Source organism: Homo sapiens, chromosome 18 (genome assembly GCF_000001405.40).
Source record: "Homo sapiens chromosome 18, GRCh38.p14 Primary Assembly".
Lineage (NCBI taxonomy): Eukaryota > Metazoa > Chordata > Mammalia > Primates > Hominidae > Homo > Homo sapiens.
Genome location: NC_000018.10, coordinates 27,332,718 through 27,346,673, shown reverse-complemented (window position 1 = coordinate 27,346,673; position 13,956 = coordinate 27,332,718). Strand labels below are relative to the sequence as shown.

The 13,956-nt window shown below is 38.8% G+C and overlaps 2 long non-coding RNA genes across 3 annotated transcripts; one reads left to right on the top strand and one right to left on the bottom strand.

Moving 5' to 3' along the window:
• Nucleotides 1–562: 562 nt before the first annotated feature.
• On the bottom strand, nucleotides 563–3,905 carry LOC105372040 (uncharacterized). 2 transcript variants are annotated; one of them, XR_007066324.1, is made up of 4 exons: nucleotides 3,791–3,900; nucleotides 3,363–3,527; nucleotides 2,332–2,453; nucleotides 563–1,303 (listed from the first exon to the last, which is right to left on the bottom strand). It is a non-coding gene; the product is annotated as an uncharacterized LOC105372040 (long non-coding RNA). The 2 variants fall into 2 exon arrangements; XR_007066325.1 differs by lacking the exon at nucleotides 3,363–3,527 and having other exon boundaries at nucleotides 3,791–3,905.
• A 112-nt stretch (nucleotides 3,906–4,017) lies between these two features.
• Nucleotides 4,018–9,683, top strand: LOC105372038 (uncharacterized). Its single transcript, NR_134589.1, has 3 exons — nucleotides 4,018–4,171; nucleotides 7,972–8,067; nucleotides 9,487–9,683. It is a non-coding gene; the product is annotated as an uncharacterized LOC105372038 (long non-coding RNA).
• The last annotated feature ends 4,273 nt before the right edge of the window (nucleotides 9,684–13,956 follow it).

Below are 13,956 nucleotides of genomic sequence, written 5' to 3'. Positions count from 1 at the left end.
GAGTTCCATAGTCTGGATGCATTGTGCTTTTGAAAAGAGAAAGGAAGGTTACCTGCAGTAGGCCTTCCCACCAGAGAGCAATCACAATGTCCAGTTGGTTCTCATGCCTTTGATCGTTCTTGACTATATCTAACTCTCCTGTTGAGTTCTTGTCTCAGGCTCACAGATTAATATTAACTCAGGCTGCAGTGAGGCAGATTTCTCTTATTGAGAGGGAGCTGTTTTGATCTGTGCACTTTATCTTTAAAAGGCTTCCTGAAAGCCTATCTTGCAGCATTTCCCAAATCATGTTCCATAGGATCCTGGTATCCAGTGAGATGTAAAAAGGTGTTGCATAGATAAAAGGGATCTGTAGTCAAACTATTCAGTGATATTCTGCAAACCTTACCTCTTATAAAGATTCAGAATTCAATTAACATATAAAAGGTTCAGAGAAAATCTACATAAAAGAAACCTGTCTAACTTTGATAAACCCCCGTATTTCCCAAATTTTGCAAACACAATGTTAGTTTTATTCATCTAGTATCAATAAATATCACATGAACCACATTTTGAAAAAGGCTGCTGTATATATATGACATAATTTATTCAGATATTTGATTCCACATACCCCTTTCAATAAAGATAGCAAGTATTCCTATGTAGGACAAAACCCATAAAATATTCAGAAGCATGAAAATATTTTTTACTTGTGGAAACTTTTCTACACACTAAGTTCAGAACTTAAGGTGGTCCTTGAACAACCTGGACTGCTAATGTTTAAAGGTTGTGACACCATTAAAATGTATTTGTATTGCAGTCACTTTCATTATAAAAGCCATCGACCCTCTTTAATATAAGGGGCTCAAGTAAGAGGTAGATTCAGTTAAGTCAGGAGCAGATGAACCACGTAGAATTGGGCTGCATGGTACCCTATGCTCAGAGCAAGATTATGAGGATTGTGAAGATTGAAGCCCAAGGGTAAGGCAAGCTGGCAGACAAACCAAGCAGGCAGTCAGGAGCCAGTGGAGCTCAGCCACAGGAAAGCAAGTTAAAGCAACAGAACAAATTCCAGGATCCTGGAAAAGTGCAAACACTAGAATAGAAGGCTAGGCAAGGTGGGGAGAGGGGCAGACACACAGAAATATGGGTGCAGGAACACAGGCAGGCTGAAGAGCAGGCATGTGCACTAACAAAAGAGACCTAGCAGCAAATGTCTGCTACAATAAAGGAATTTCAAAGGCAAGCCTTCCTCTCAGGACAGATGATGATGGCAGGCAGGGCTATTCCAAAGTCGGAGGGCTGTGGCTGTTAAGTAGCTCATCTGGATAGAGAGGGAAAAAGACCAGTGCAACAATTATATGATGAGGCAGGAATCAACTGAATGTTCACTTGTGTTTAGAGGAAGCAGGATTTGATTACTTTTATGGGTGACTCATCATTTTAATTATCATTTATAATATAATTCCAGTTTTACATTTTGTATGTACAAAATTGTAACAAGTTATAGGATAAAAATACCCACATCAATGAACAGGCTAAGTATGCCCATAATATATGTGTCCTTTATGAGAGACGACAAAGTAAATATTAACATATTAACCAATGCCAATGTCAACAAATACAAATGTCAATGCGAAGAGCCAGACTTAGAGTGGACATCATTGTGTGCAAGAATTGCATATAAAATGTTAAGAATTTTTCATATACATAATTGTAATACAATTTATTTTAATGAATTGAGTGGTGCCTTATGGTTTTTAAGTTTTTATTTTTATTTTTATGAAGTTTATTTTTAATTTAGTAAAACATTTGATTCTAACCCACAGGTCATTAATAATACAAATTGTGTGGTATTCACCATGTTACTCTTCTGAGGGATGTGCAAGCTGTACATGACAGTCATAACAATGGCTTTGCCATTAGTCTGTAAGGATGTGTTAAGCAGTATTTGGCAGGGATTGACCCTAGCATCTCTCCTAATCAGTAACTTCATTGATTTTCTGATCAAGAAGTTTATAGTATGCTAATCATAGTACTGACGAGCTTATGTTAAGTGAGTTATTAGAATTTCAGAATTAGGAAATAAAGCCCAATATAATTTTCATTAAAAGAATATACTGCATTTGCCAAACCCCAAGGAAATTCAACAGAAACAAATGCAGGCTGATTTAGGTAAAAAAAATGATCTGAGAGGCTGGGCGTGGTGCCTCACACCTGCAATCCCAGCACTTTGGGAGGCTGAGGCAGGTGGATCAGTTGAGGTTAGGAGTTTAAGACCAGCCTGGCCAACATGGTGAAACCCCGTCTCTACTAAAAATACAAAAATTAGCAAGGCGTGGTGGCATGTACCTGTAACCCCAGCTACTTGGGAGGTTGAGGCAGGAGAATTGCTTGAACCCGGGAAGCGGAAGCTGCAGTGAGCCAAGATAGTGCCACTGCACTCCAGCCTGGGTGACAGAGTGAGATTCCATCTGGGAAAAAAAAAAAAAGGTCTGAGAAAGAAATATAGGATAAGGAAGTAGTAACTAATCATATGTGTAGAAAAATGATCCATGTCAACATGATACTAGATGTATTAATATGATTAACTTATAAAAACAATCTCTGAGTCTCTAATAAGAGAATTCTGAGCATTTTTTTTGGTGAGCAGAATTTGAATAGAGTGTGGTCAAATGTATGGATCCAGATAAAAATGACAACGTCACAAGGGTGGAACCTAAGGCTACTCTGAGATCACCGCATGTCGTGACCAGCACATAGTCCATCCTTAAATTATGCCGGTTGACATTGTATCTGTCAGGGTTTGGTCAGGAAGACAGAGGCCATTTCATGCATCCCAAGCATAAGGGATCTTAGTAGAGGAAACAAGGACTTTAAAACTATTGGAAGAGCTAGGGAAGGCAAGGTCAGGGAAGCCACCCTGGGGAGCTCAGGCTGAGGTGCTGGAGAGGATGGTTCTCAGGACTGGCTGGGAAGACTCAGTGAACCTCTCTTCTGCCCACATTTTGCCTGCAGCTGCCTTCAGAGATTAATGGTCCTTTTTTCTCTGACCTTCCAAATTTTACCAGAGTACTTCTAATTATCCTACTCTGACCCAGAGCCATGAGAGGAAAAGGATTTGGGGGAAGACAATTCCCACTCTAGAAAAGATGGTAGTGATGCCGATTTGACCACAATCCAGCACAACTTTATAAATAAAGATCCTATGAAGAAAGAATAAAGTAGTTGGGAGATTTTCCCAAAATGTTTGGCCTCTTGTGAAAACCAGGTTAACATTCTTAGCTGATTTTGTTTGTAGATTATTCTGTCAACTATTGCCACAATAATGACAAGCAACTCCAACATTTCAATGACTATAAGAGCAGGTATTAACATCTCACCGGTGTGTCTATGGATCAAGTAGGGCCACTCTGCTGATCTCAGTTGGGTGTGGCTCCAGGCCAGGGTTTAGATTCAAATCTGCTTCACACTCTTGTTGTTAAGAGCTACTGGTGGTAGGCAAATTAATGGTCCCCCAACGATGTCCATGTCCTACTTCCTAGAACCTGTGCATATGTTAGGTTACGTGGCACAGGGGAATTAGGTTGCAGAAGGAATTAGGTTGCTAATGAGGTAAACTTGAGATGAAATTATCTTTAATTATCCTGGATTATTTGGGTAGGCCAATGGTAATCATGGGGCTCTTAAAAATGAAAGTTGGAGGCAGGAGACACAGAGAGAGAACTGGAGGGAGAAGCAGAGAACAGGCAGCGTGGGAAGAACACAGCCTGATGTTGCTGGCTTTAAGACAGAAAAAGAGGTCACAAACCCGAATGTGGCAGTCTCTAGAACCCAGAAAGGGCAAAGAAACGACTTCTCCTGGAGCCTCAAGAAGGAACACAGCCTTCCTGACACGTTGATTTTAGCCCAGTATTACCCGTTTTGGAATTCCAACCTCCAGAATAGTAAAGAATAAATTGTTCTGGTAATTATGGTGTCATAGAATCCTCTTATGCCACCAGAGTTTCATTATGTTCCTGCTGATGGCAGAAGTGCAAAAGAGTGAGGAGAAGCCCCCAGTGCTCTTAAAGCCTCAGCCTAGGACTGTCACCTCTGCTTAGCTTACTATCAGTGGGGTGAGGAAATATACATCACCTTTTGTGGAAGGAACGTCAAGGTCATACAGCTAAAGATGTGGAGACAGGGAAAGGTAAAGTCTTGGACACAGTAAAGCAACTTACTGCAGGGGACATCTTACTGCAGTAACATCTTACTGCAGTCATACATTAATAACACTTATGAATGAGATTAACTACTAAATGTTCTGCATCTTAAATTAGAATTCAGGCATTCCGTCCTCTAAAATGAGTACCATGCTGCACTCATTATATTGGAAAATTGTGAAAGTTGAACAATTTTACCTGCTACACGGGAAGGGTGAAAATGATTTGTTTGTGGGGCATTTGCACTGATACAGCCATTCCAAAGAGCAATCTAGTGGCACTTATTGAAATTAAGAATGTATTATATATACTCTGTCTCCCAGCAAGGCCTGTCTGTCCATCCCTCAGAAAAATTCAAAAAGTTGTCAGGCGAGGGGAGATTTATTGAAGTGTGGTTAAATGTTGCAAAGAGTACCCCACTGGTAGGAGAACGAAATATAAGATGTGATAGAGGCATATTATGGCTTATGACATATACTATATAGCAGTGAAGAGCAATGAGTGAGATTCACATACAGAAACATGTATAGATTACAGAAACATATGTTGAGTGGGAAAACAGAGAGAGAGGGAAATCCCACAGCATAATACCATCTATGCATAATTAGGTGCCCACATAGCACTGTGTAGTTTTCAAGCATCTGTAATTATCTAAATAAACATGTAGCCGGTGGATTGGAAGAATATATACTAAATACACAAATAGGTGCCTATGCGGGGGATTGGAAATGGGATTGAAAAAGACAAAGAGAAAACTCAAAAGATTCTTAAAAGAGAGACCCTGACAAATGGATGATGACAGTAGTAACTCATAAACTAAGTACTGGCTAAAGCAAATTCTGCACACCTGATCCTTAAGAAGCATGGGAGAGAGAGAGAAAGAAAGGGAAAGAGAGAACCTAAGGGAAGACTCCAGGAAAGAAGTAGAGGAGGTATTTGGCAGTCAGGTAACAGCTTCATAAAGCAGCTAAGTTTCGATATCACAGTTCTTATTTTCTATTAAGTTTTTTATTTGGGAGGAGATATCAATGCTTTCTAGCCTTCCTTAATAGCACTGTTTGTGTGTGTGAGTGTGTCTGTGTGTGTGTGTGTGTGTGTGTGTGTGTGTGTGTGTAGCAGCACTCATATTTATATAAAGCGTCTGTGAAATTTCTCTATAGCTATTTCGTTTCTCTCAACTATTCTTAGTAAGTAGTTTCTGAGAGCTATTTGACCTCAAGGGTTAATTTTTAAACCTACATTTCAAGTTTTTCCTTTTCAAAATGCATCTTTCTTGTGAATAAATATGGCAGAATGAGGCAGCTGAAGTGATCAGTTACCTTGGGTGTGTCCTCAATCATGGAAACTTTTCTCTGCAGGACGGAAATTGCTTTCATCTTTCAAAGTAAAGCCATGGAGAGAAGGCTGGATCAACCAGGGTGTTGAGATATTAGAGAAAATCTCAGTCTTTCAATGAGAGGGACAATTGAAGAAGTTTCCCAGGCTGCATCAACTGCAACGCCATTGTGTCACCTGCAGAAGTTAGCTGCACCTCATGCTGCTGCTGTCCATGCTGACTGCAGTCCCCTGGGCATGTTTACGTTTTGTCTAAGTTCTTAGCACTGATTTTTTCTGGCATTCAGGTTTCACATCTGTAACCGCTCTTGCCAGAGGTAGAAGCTTTGTTGAGATTGAGGACTATGCTGGACACACAGTAATTCCATTATCACCAGATTAATTCGTAATGAATGAACACATGACGCTCTGCTCTCTCTCTGTCTCTCTCTCTCTTTCTCTGTACATACACACACATATATACATCATACATATATTTCCCCTAGAGATCTATTCTGTCACTTCTCTTACTACCATTCACTCCCTTCCCATTTCTGCTGGAATCCTGGATCACCAGCCTGCCTCTCTCATTCTTGCCAAAGCTCCACCGCCTGTGGGTCTCCACCAGCCTTTCTCTTCAGGTTGCTCAAGACCAAAATTCAGGAGCTGTAGCATTCAGGTAAATTATGTAGGGAAGGGTAGGATATGATGGGAAACAAAAGCAGAGATCCTTTTCTCTTGGAATATCCTGGCCTGGATTACCATTACCAATATTTTTGGCATTTAGGCACTCTCTGGACTGGCAGGGCAGGGCAGGGTATAAATTGGGCTGGCTGCTTGCCAGGTTGTTATCTCCCTTAACCAGTCTGTCGGCAGTTCTCAGGGAAAACACAAGTTCTTTCCCACAAAGGTGCAGAGAACTCACTCTGATTGGATTTCATCATTGTAAAAGAAAAGACGATTACTTAAAAGAGGTATCTATGCTACTGATGGGATTTCAGGCTTTAGTGGACACAATATTTTAAAAATCAAGAGCATTTCCACACATGAGAAGACAGACAGATGTACCCAAACATTGCCTCTGTTTCAACCCATTTCAAATGAGGAGCAGGATTAACACTTCTTAGAGTTCAGGGTAGGTAATCCACTTACCAAGGTGTTCATAAACAATGTGCAGGAATAGGAGGAAGGGTTTCATGTTACCCAGTGGATCGCATTTTACTTCAAAATTTCACCTCTGACTCTACCGTCAGTCCTCCACAAATACGCCTGTGTCCCTTTTCCACATCTCCAAACTTGCCACTGGCATCCCTCTGGCCTAACAACAAGGCTTTCCAAATACCTGGGCTCCCCCTCCTCAGAAGACAAGGAGAGTTTTCCGTCACACATAAAAGAGGTCAGGCTGTGAGATAAGAACTGGAAAGTTGGGCTTTTTTTCTTCGTGTATGTAAATTCTTAGTTGAATATGCATGTAATGTTAAAAAAGACTCTTCATGGATATTTACCAGTTCAAATGGTTTTTCCAGATTGTTTTCCAGCATGAAAAAAAAAGCAATTGGAACCAGCCTTAAATTAGAATTAAAAACAGATACTTCTTGAAAGTATATGTAAAAAAGCTCTAGGTTACTGAGATTTTTTAATCACGACAACTTTAAAATGTGCCATCTGTGCGCAGCAATAGGGTTCTCATCAGTTGAAAGGTTAATCGTAAGCTACTGAAGAGCTGACTCCAAGCTTAGCTCTGAGTGGAGAATTTATTACATAGTCATGATCTTATTTAGCATGCAGGGTAAATCGCCTCATTAGGAATATAATGTGAAGGAGATTCACAACTTTTCCGACAGGTTCAGAGAGGTCAACTAAGGAAAAGAAGGAGGCCAGTCATGGAAATAGGACTCTGGCTTGCTGTGGGTGTATACTTGTCTTGTCTAGTGCCTGTAAACTTACTCATTTTAAGAATGATATCTGTCAAGAAAGGAGAAAAGTCCCCATTAGAAGGTGAAGACCCAGAAAAACCTTTCAGAGGTTTGTCCCAGAGGTCATAGGTATGAAATGCAGTAATAGACATCCAGTTGAGGGAGTCTGAAAGGCAAGGGTGAGAAAGCATAGCAAGAGGTAACAATCTGTTGGATTAACAGTAGCTTTCATTAACCCTGAGCCGTCCCTCAGCACAGGTGGGAGGGAAGGAAAGGTTGTTTTCTTTTGTCCAGTTTCATTTCTTTATCCTGTATGAAATCTTTTCTTTTACTCATGGCCCAGAATAATTTCTACCCTGAATGGCCCAAATCCAAACTTTCAGCATAGGAATCTTTATGAAACTCCTCTGATGGCTTAGGGCTCATTTTGGGTATGATCTTGACCTTTCCATCTTTCCAAAGTTTTCCTGCTTCCTCTAGGGCAGTCACGGCTTATCCTTTCTGGCTCCCCTTTTACCACCTTCTCCTGGAATTTACCTGACCTCCTCTTCTCACAGCTTGGCAGGCTCTAGAGAGACTGACCTCTGCAGATGGTTTAAAGGGAGAAGCTCAAGGGTCCACAGTTCACAGGGCTGCCAATCAGGCCTGTGCAGGTAAGAAATGTATTCTAGCAGTGGTCTCTTGGAGGCTGCGCTTCCTCTGTTGCTTTCTTCCACAAAAGAATGCCTTTTTTTTTTTTTTTTTTTTGAGACAGGGTCTCTCTCTGTCACCCAGGCTGGAGTGCAGTGGTGTGATCTCGCCTCACTACAACCGTCCACCTCCCAGGCTCCCGTGATCCTTCTGCCTCACCCTCCTGAAGCTGGGACTATAGGCATGTGCTACCATGCCCAGCTAATTTTTCTATTTTTAGTAGTAGTAAAGATGGGGTTTCACCATTTTTCCCAGGCTGGTCTCAAACTCCTGACCTCAAGTGAGCCACCCACCTCAGCCTCCCAAAGTGCTGGGATTACAGGCGTGAGCCACTGTGCCTAGCCTTAAAATAATGGTTTTAATAGACATTTCAGAGATGCTGGTTCCATTTAGGTACAAGGGACAAAAGATAATACTCTTGGCATTAGGTAAAAAGGATAGATGAAGAAGCAGTTTTTCTAGGCTAGGAACTATTTTTCTAAGACATGAAAGAGACACAGTTTTAAAGGTTCCTAAGATACCAATAGATATTAAAGATAGTAATGCCTTTTCCATCATGATATCCCTCGGAAAGGAGTATCCAATGATTTAAGAAGTAAATCTCTAATGTTTCAATATTGAGAATTGATAGTATTAACTTATCAAGCAATCAAATTTCTCACATAATATTGGTATTTAAAGATGGTGGGAAACTTTCAGGAACTACTTAATTTTACTCAACTATACCTGTGATTCTGGCAAAACAACTTTGCTAATTAAAAAAAAAAGTGAGGTAAAAATGATCTCACATTTACCTACCGTTAACCACTATAATAGGGTAAGAATGAAGTTAGGGAGCTTGAAGATTGCAGTTACTGCTTTGCGTGTAGACAGGGAACTATAAAAATGTCACCACTGAGTAAAAATGACTGAGACTTTAGTTCCAACTCCTCTGTGGAAGCTTGTCATTTTAATTTCAGTGTCCTGATTTTTAAAGGAGAGTAAACTACAGGTTCTTAAGATTTAATCCATTTTGTCACTTTTAGGCATTTGATATTTTATACTGTGGCATTTGAATAATGTGTTCATGGCACATGATGAGCAAAATGTGTAATATACACAGAAATAAAAATAAGGCAAGTAGGTCTCTATAGAGCAGCCATGGGCCATTTCAGAGTCTGAGGTCTTTACCAGTAAAGAAAACTGTTGTTTGGTTTCCATGGTAGCCTGGTGGCTAGCAGATAATCCCTACCTTATTCTGTGAGAAAGAAAAAAAAATCAGAGGGTTAAGAATGTGATAATAAGGAGATATTATAAAATTATTTTCTGAATCTGGTACTAAACATCTTAATTCCTACTGTAAAGATCATTGTTGGTAGCTAATGTAACTTTTTGTGCCATAGAAAACTCAACAGTCTAAAAGAATATATGAAGACAGAACCTCAACCTAGAAGAAATGGACAAATTCCCAGACACATCAAGGAATTCCTAGACAAACTATCAAAACTGAATCATGATTAGATAGAAAATCTGAACAGATCAATATAAGTAAAGAGATTAAAGCAGTAATAAACTCTCCCATCAAAGAAAAGCTCAGGACCTGATGGCTTCACTGCTGAATTCTACCAAACGTTTAAAGAACTAACACCAATGATTCTCAAACTCTTTTTAAAAATTGAAGATGAGAGAACACTTCCAAATTCATATCACGAGGCCAGCATTACCCTGATACCAACGCCAGACAAAGACACTATAAGAAAAGGCAATTATGGACCAATATCCCTGATAAACATGGATGTAAAAATCCTCATCAAAATACTAGCAAATGAAATTCAACCACAAATTTAAAAAAGCATTCACCATGATCGAGTGGGATTTATCCCTGGGATGCAGGAAGTTTCAACATACACAAATCCATAAACATGATACACCACATCAACAAGATGAAGGACAAAATCTTTATAATCTCAATAGATGCAGGAAAAGCATTTAACAGAATTCAGCACCCTTTCATGATTTAAAAAAACTCAACAAAATATAGAAGGACTGTACCCCAACACAATAAAGACCAGATATGACAAACCCACAGCTAACATTCTCAACAGTGAAAAGTTAAAAGCTTTTCTTCTGAGATCAGGAACAAGACAATAATGCTCACTCTCTCGACTTCTGTTCATCGTAACGTTGGAAGTTCTAGACAGAGCAATTAGACAAAAAAAAAAAAAGAGATAAAAGGCATCCAAACTGAAAAGGAAGAAGTTAAATTGTCCCTGTTTACAGATATCATGATCTTCTGTACAGAAAACTCTGGCTGGGTGCTGTGGCTCATGCCTGTAATCCCAGCTACTCAGGAGACTGAGGCAGGAGAATAGCTTGAACCCGGGAGGTGGAGATTCCAGTGAGCCAAGATTGCACCACTGCTCTCCAGCCTGGGTGACAGAGTGAGACTCTGTCTCAAAAAAAAAAAAAAAAAAAAAAAAAAGAAGAAGAAGAAAAGGAGGAGAAGAAGAGGAGGAGGAGGAGGAAGAAGAAGAAGAGAACAACTCTAAAGACTCCAGCAAAAAAAAAAAAAAAAAGCTTTTGGAATTAATAAATGAATTCAGTAAAGTTGCAGGATATATAATTGAAATGGTTTTAATTTTTGTCCGCACCCAAATCTCATGTCGAATTGTAATCCTGAACACTGGAGGAGGGGCCTGGTGGGAGGTGATTTCCTCCTTGCTGTTCTTGTGATAGTGAGTGAGTTCTTACGAGATCTGCTTTTTTAAAAGTATGTACCACCTCTCCCTTTGCTCTCTTCCTCTTTCTCTGGCCATGTAAGATGTGCCTGCTTCCCCTTCACCTTCTGCCAAAATTGTGAGTTTCCTGAGGCCTCCCTAGTCATGCTTCCTGTACAGCCTGTGGAACCGTGAGTCAATTAAACTTCTTTTCTTTATAAATTACCCAGTCTCAGGTAGTTCTTTATAGCAATGTGAGAACAGACTAATACAATAATCAATGCACAAAAATTAGTAACATTTCCATACACTAATCGCAAACTATCTGAAAAAGAAATCAAGAAAATCGTCCCATTTATAATAGCTACAAAAAGTAAAAATAATATACTTTGGAATGAATTTAACCAGGGAAGTAAAAGACTTACACACTGATTAAAACAAACAAAGAATTTATTAGGTGTGGAGGCACGTGCAAGTAGTCCTAGCTACTCAGGAGGCTGAGGCAGGAGAATTGCAGGAGCCTAGGAGTTCAAGGCTGCAGTGAGCTTGTTCACATCATTGCACTCTTACCTGCATGCAGAGCAAGACCCCTGTCTCTTAAAAAGTTAAAAAAAAGAAAAAAAAGACTGAATCTCTACTCCACTATTTTCCCGCCCAAACCTTTTCCCTCCATCAGTATTCAGACCACGTAGAAACTTGGCAGGCTATAGTACAGATGATATATTTTGAAGTAGCCCCATTACTGCCCAATCCTATTACCTTCAACTCCTTCATGCTGTATACATTATTAGTTCATTCTGTATTCCTGTATCTACTCATGGATCAAAATGCACAGAAATTGCAAGGCAGGAAGTAAGATAAAACAGGAGGTCACACATCTACTCTTAAGAAGTGTATTCTGAACAAGAAAAATGCCTCAGTTAATGCTAGAAATTTTTAAACTTGTGGTGGCAATGAATGTTAGAGATTAAAAATGTGTTTGATTAGTTCAAATGATCAGGAAAGCAATTCATAAGAGATGTAAAAGATCCTACCTCAATTTAGGCAGAGATATACTGCATGAAAACCTTCCAGGCACTCAAATCACTTCTGAGTGACCCCTTCCATGACTTCATTCATCACCGTATCTGACACAAAGTCCCCATTTTGTGATTACTTCCTCCTACACAATTAGGGGTAGCATTCCAGGTAAGAAAGTGGATTTTGGATCACTGGACTTATTGCAACTATTAGAATGTCATGTTCTTCTTTTAGAGTATTTTTTATAAATTCTTATCATTTCCAAAATCCCAAATTTGAGCATTATAATATCTCCCAACTAGTTCAAAGTAAAATTGACCCTGACCACAAGAAGGAAGACAAAAATGTAGATAATAAGCTGTCCTAATTTGGATAAACTACAAAAGTCTGTAAGTTCCCTGTTCTATAAAATGGGAATAATGATACTTTTACAGAGCCACATGATAATAAAATGAAATAAAGCACATAGTGCACCACTTGAAAGAGAATGAAATCTAAATGAAGTTGCAATTATTCTCACTAAAAGAAAATAAACTAAGAAATAATCATTTGATAGTATTCAAAGCAGTATTCAAATCACAGTATATGGCCTTAAACATGTTTTAGTATTTAACAATATGGGATGGAAATAAACTAAGCATTAAACTAGAGAAGTTAGAAAAATATATTAACCATAAAAGGTCAGAAAAGTATTCATAGAAATTATTGCGTAAAAAAGAAAAACTGTAAAATTAATATAGTTTCCATGCTAATACTTTGAAACATCTCATTAAATGCAGAAAGTATTTTCCAGTCTCATCAATCAAACCAAGAAAACTCAAATCTACATTACCATATAAAAAGCATACAAACTTGGATTCTGAGGAAATTAATTATGAGAATAAAATAATATTTAATATTAAATTATACAATATCATTAATAATTTTCCTAGAAAATATTACAAGACTGTAACTGACACAAGAAGCAAAAAACTTGACTAATCCAATAACCGCTCCAAAGTCCACCTGGTTCTGTCAATTTCTACCATTGCTCATCCAGTCCATGGGTTGGTAAGCTTTTTCTGTAAAAGGTCTGATAGTAAATATTTTAAGCTTTGCAAGTCATTCAGTCTCTGTTGCAACTACTCAGTTTCATCATTGTAACTAACATGAAAGCAGCCATGGACACTAAATGAATGAGCTGGGCTGTGTTCTTATAAAACTTTGTTTATAAAAACAAGTGAGAGTCCAGATTTGGCCTGGGAGCCATGACTTGCAGTCTCTTGATCTAGTCCTAGTTACTACCATCACACTGCTAAATTATATCCATAATCTCCCAAATAGTTTGCTTACATCTACCCTGCAAAGCAGCACCCCTAACTAATCTGTTCTTCACAGTGGAGAAAGGCAAAACTAAGTAACAACACCCTGTTTCACTTTGAACACCTTTTCATATATTTGCTCTTAGGATAAAGGAAGAAATGCATAAGAAAGCCCAGCCCCCATCTGCTCCATACTCTGCTTCCTTTCAATTGCTTCTGCCTCTCTGCTCTCTTCCACCACAGGACTTCTGTATATGCTTGTTTGTCCATCTGGATGTTTCTACCTCTCGTCTTCTCTAATCAGCTCCTCCTAAGTTATACCTCAGCTCATGCATCACTTTCTCAGCTAATCATTCTCTGATTTATCTGCCAAATTCAAAACCCCTGGCTTTTCCTGGCACGATTCTGTTTGGGCTGCAATTTCATACGTATTTGTTATATTTGGATCATTATGCATATCTCCACTAGATTATATACCCTTGGAGGGCAGAAGGTATTCCTGGTCTGTTTACCATTTTGTCCTCAGTCCTAACATCATGTCTTTTATGTAACAGAGGCTCAATAATTATTAGTTGAATGAGCAAACAAACTAAAGAATGAGTAAGAAAATAAGTGAACCATGGAACAAATTTAAAATTCATCAAATAAATACCTCTATAAAACATTCCAGCGTCAATTACACAATGATTTGTTTCAACTTTTTTAGTTCCCAGGCTTTACTAAAAATTCTAAAGCATAAAATATTTCAAAAGTCTACCCAATTTATTTCATAAAACTAGCATAGACATATTAAAACACAACAAGAAGAGCTGGAAATTGTCTTTTCACAATATTC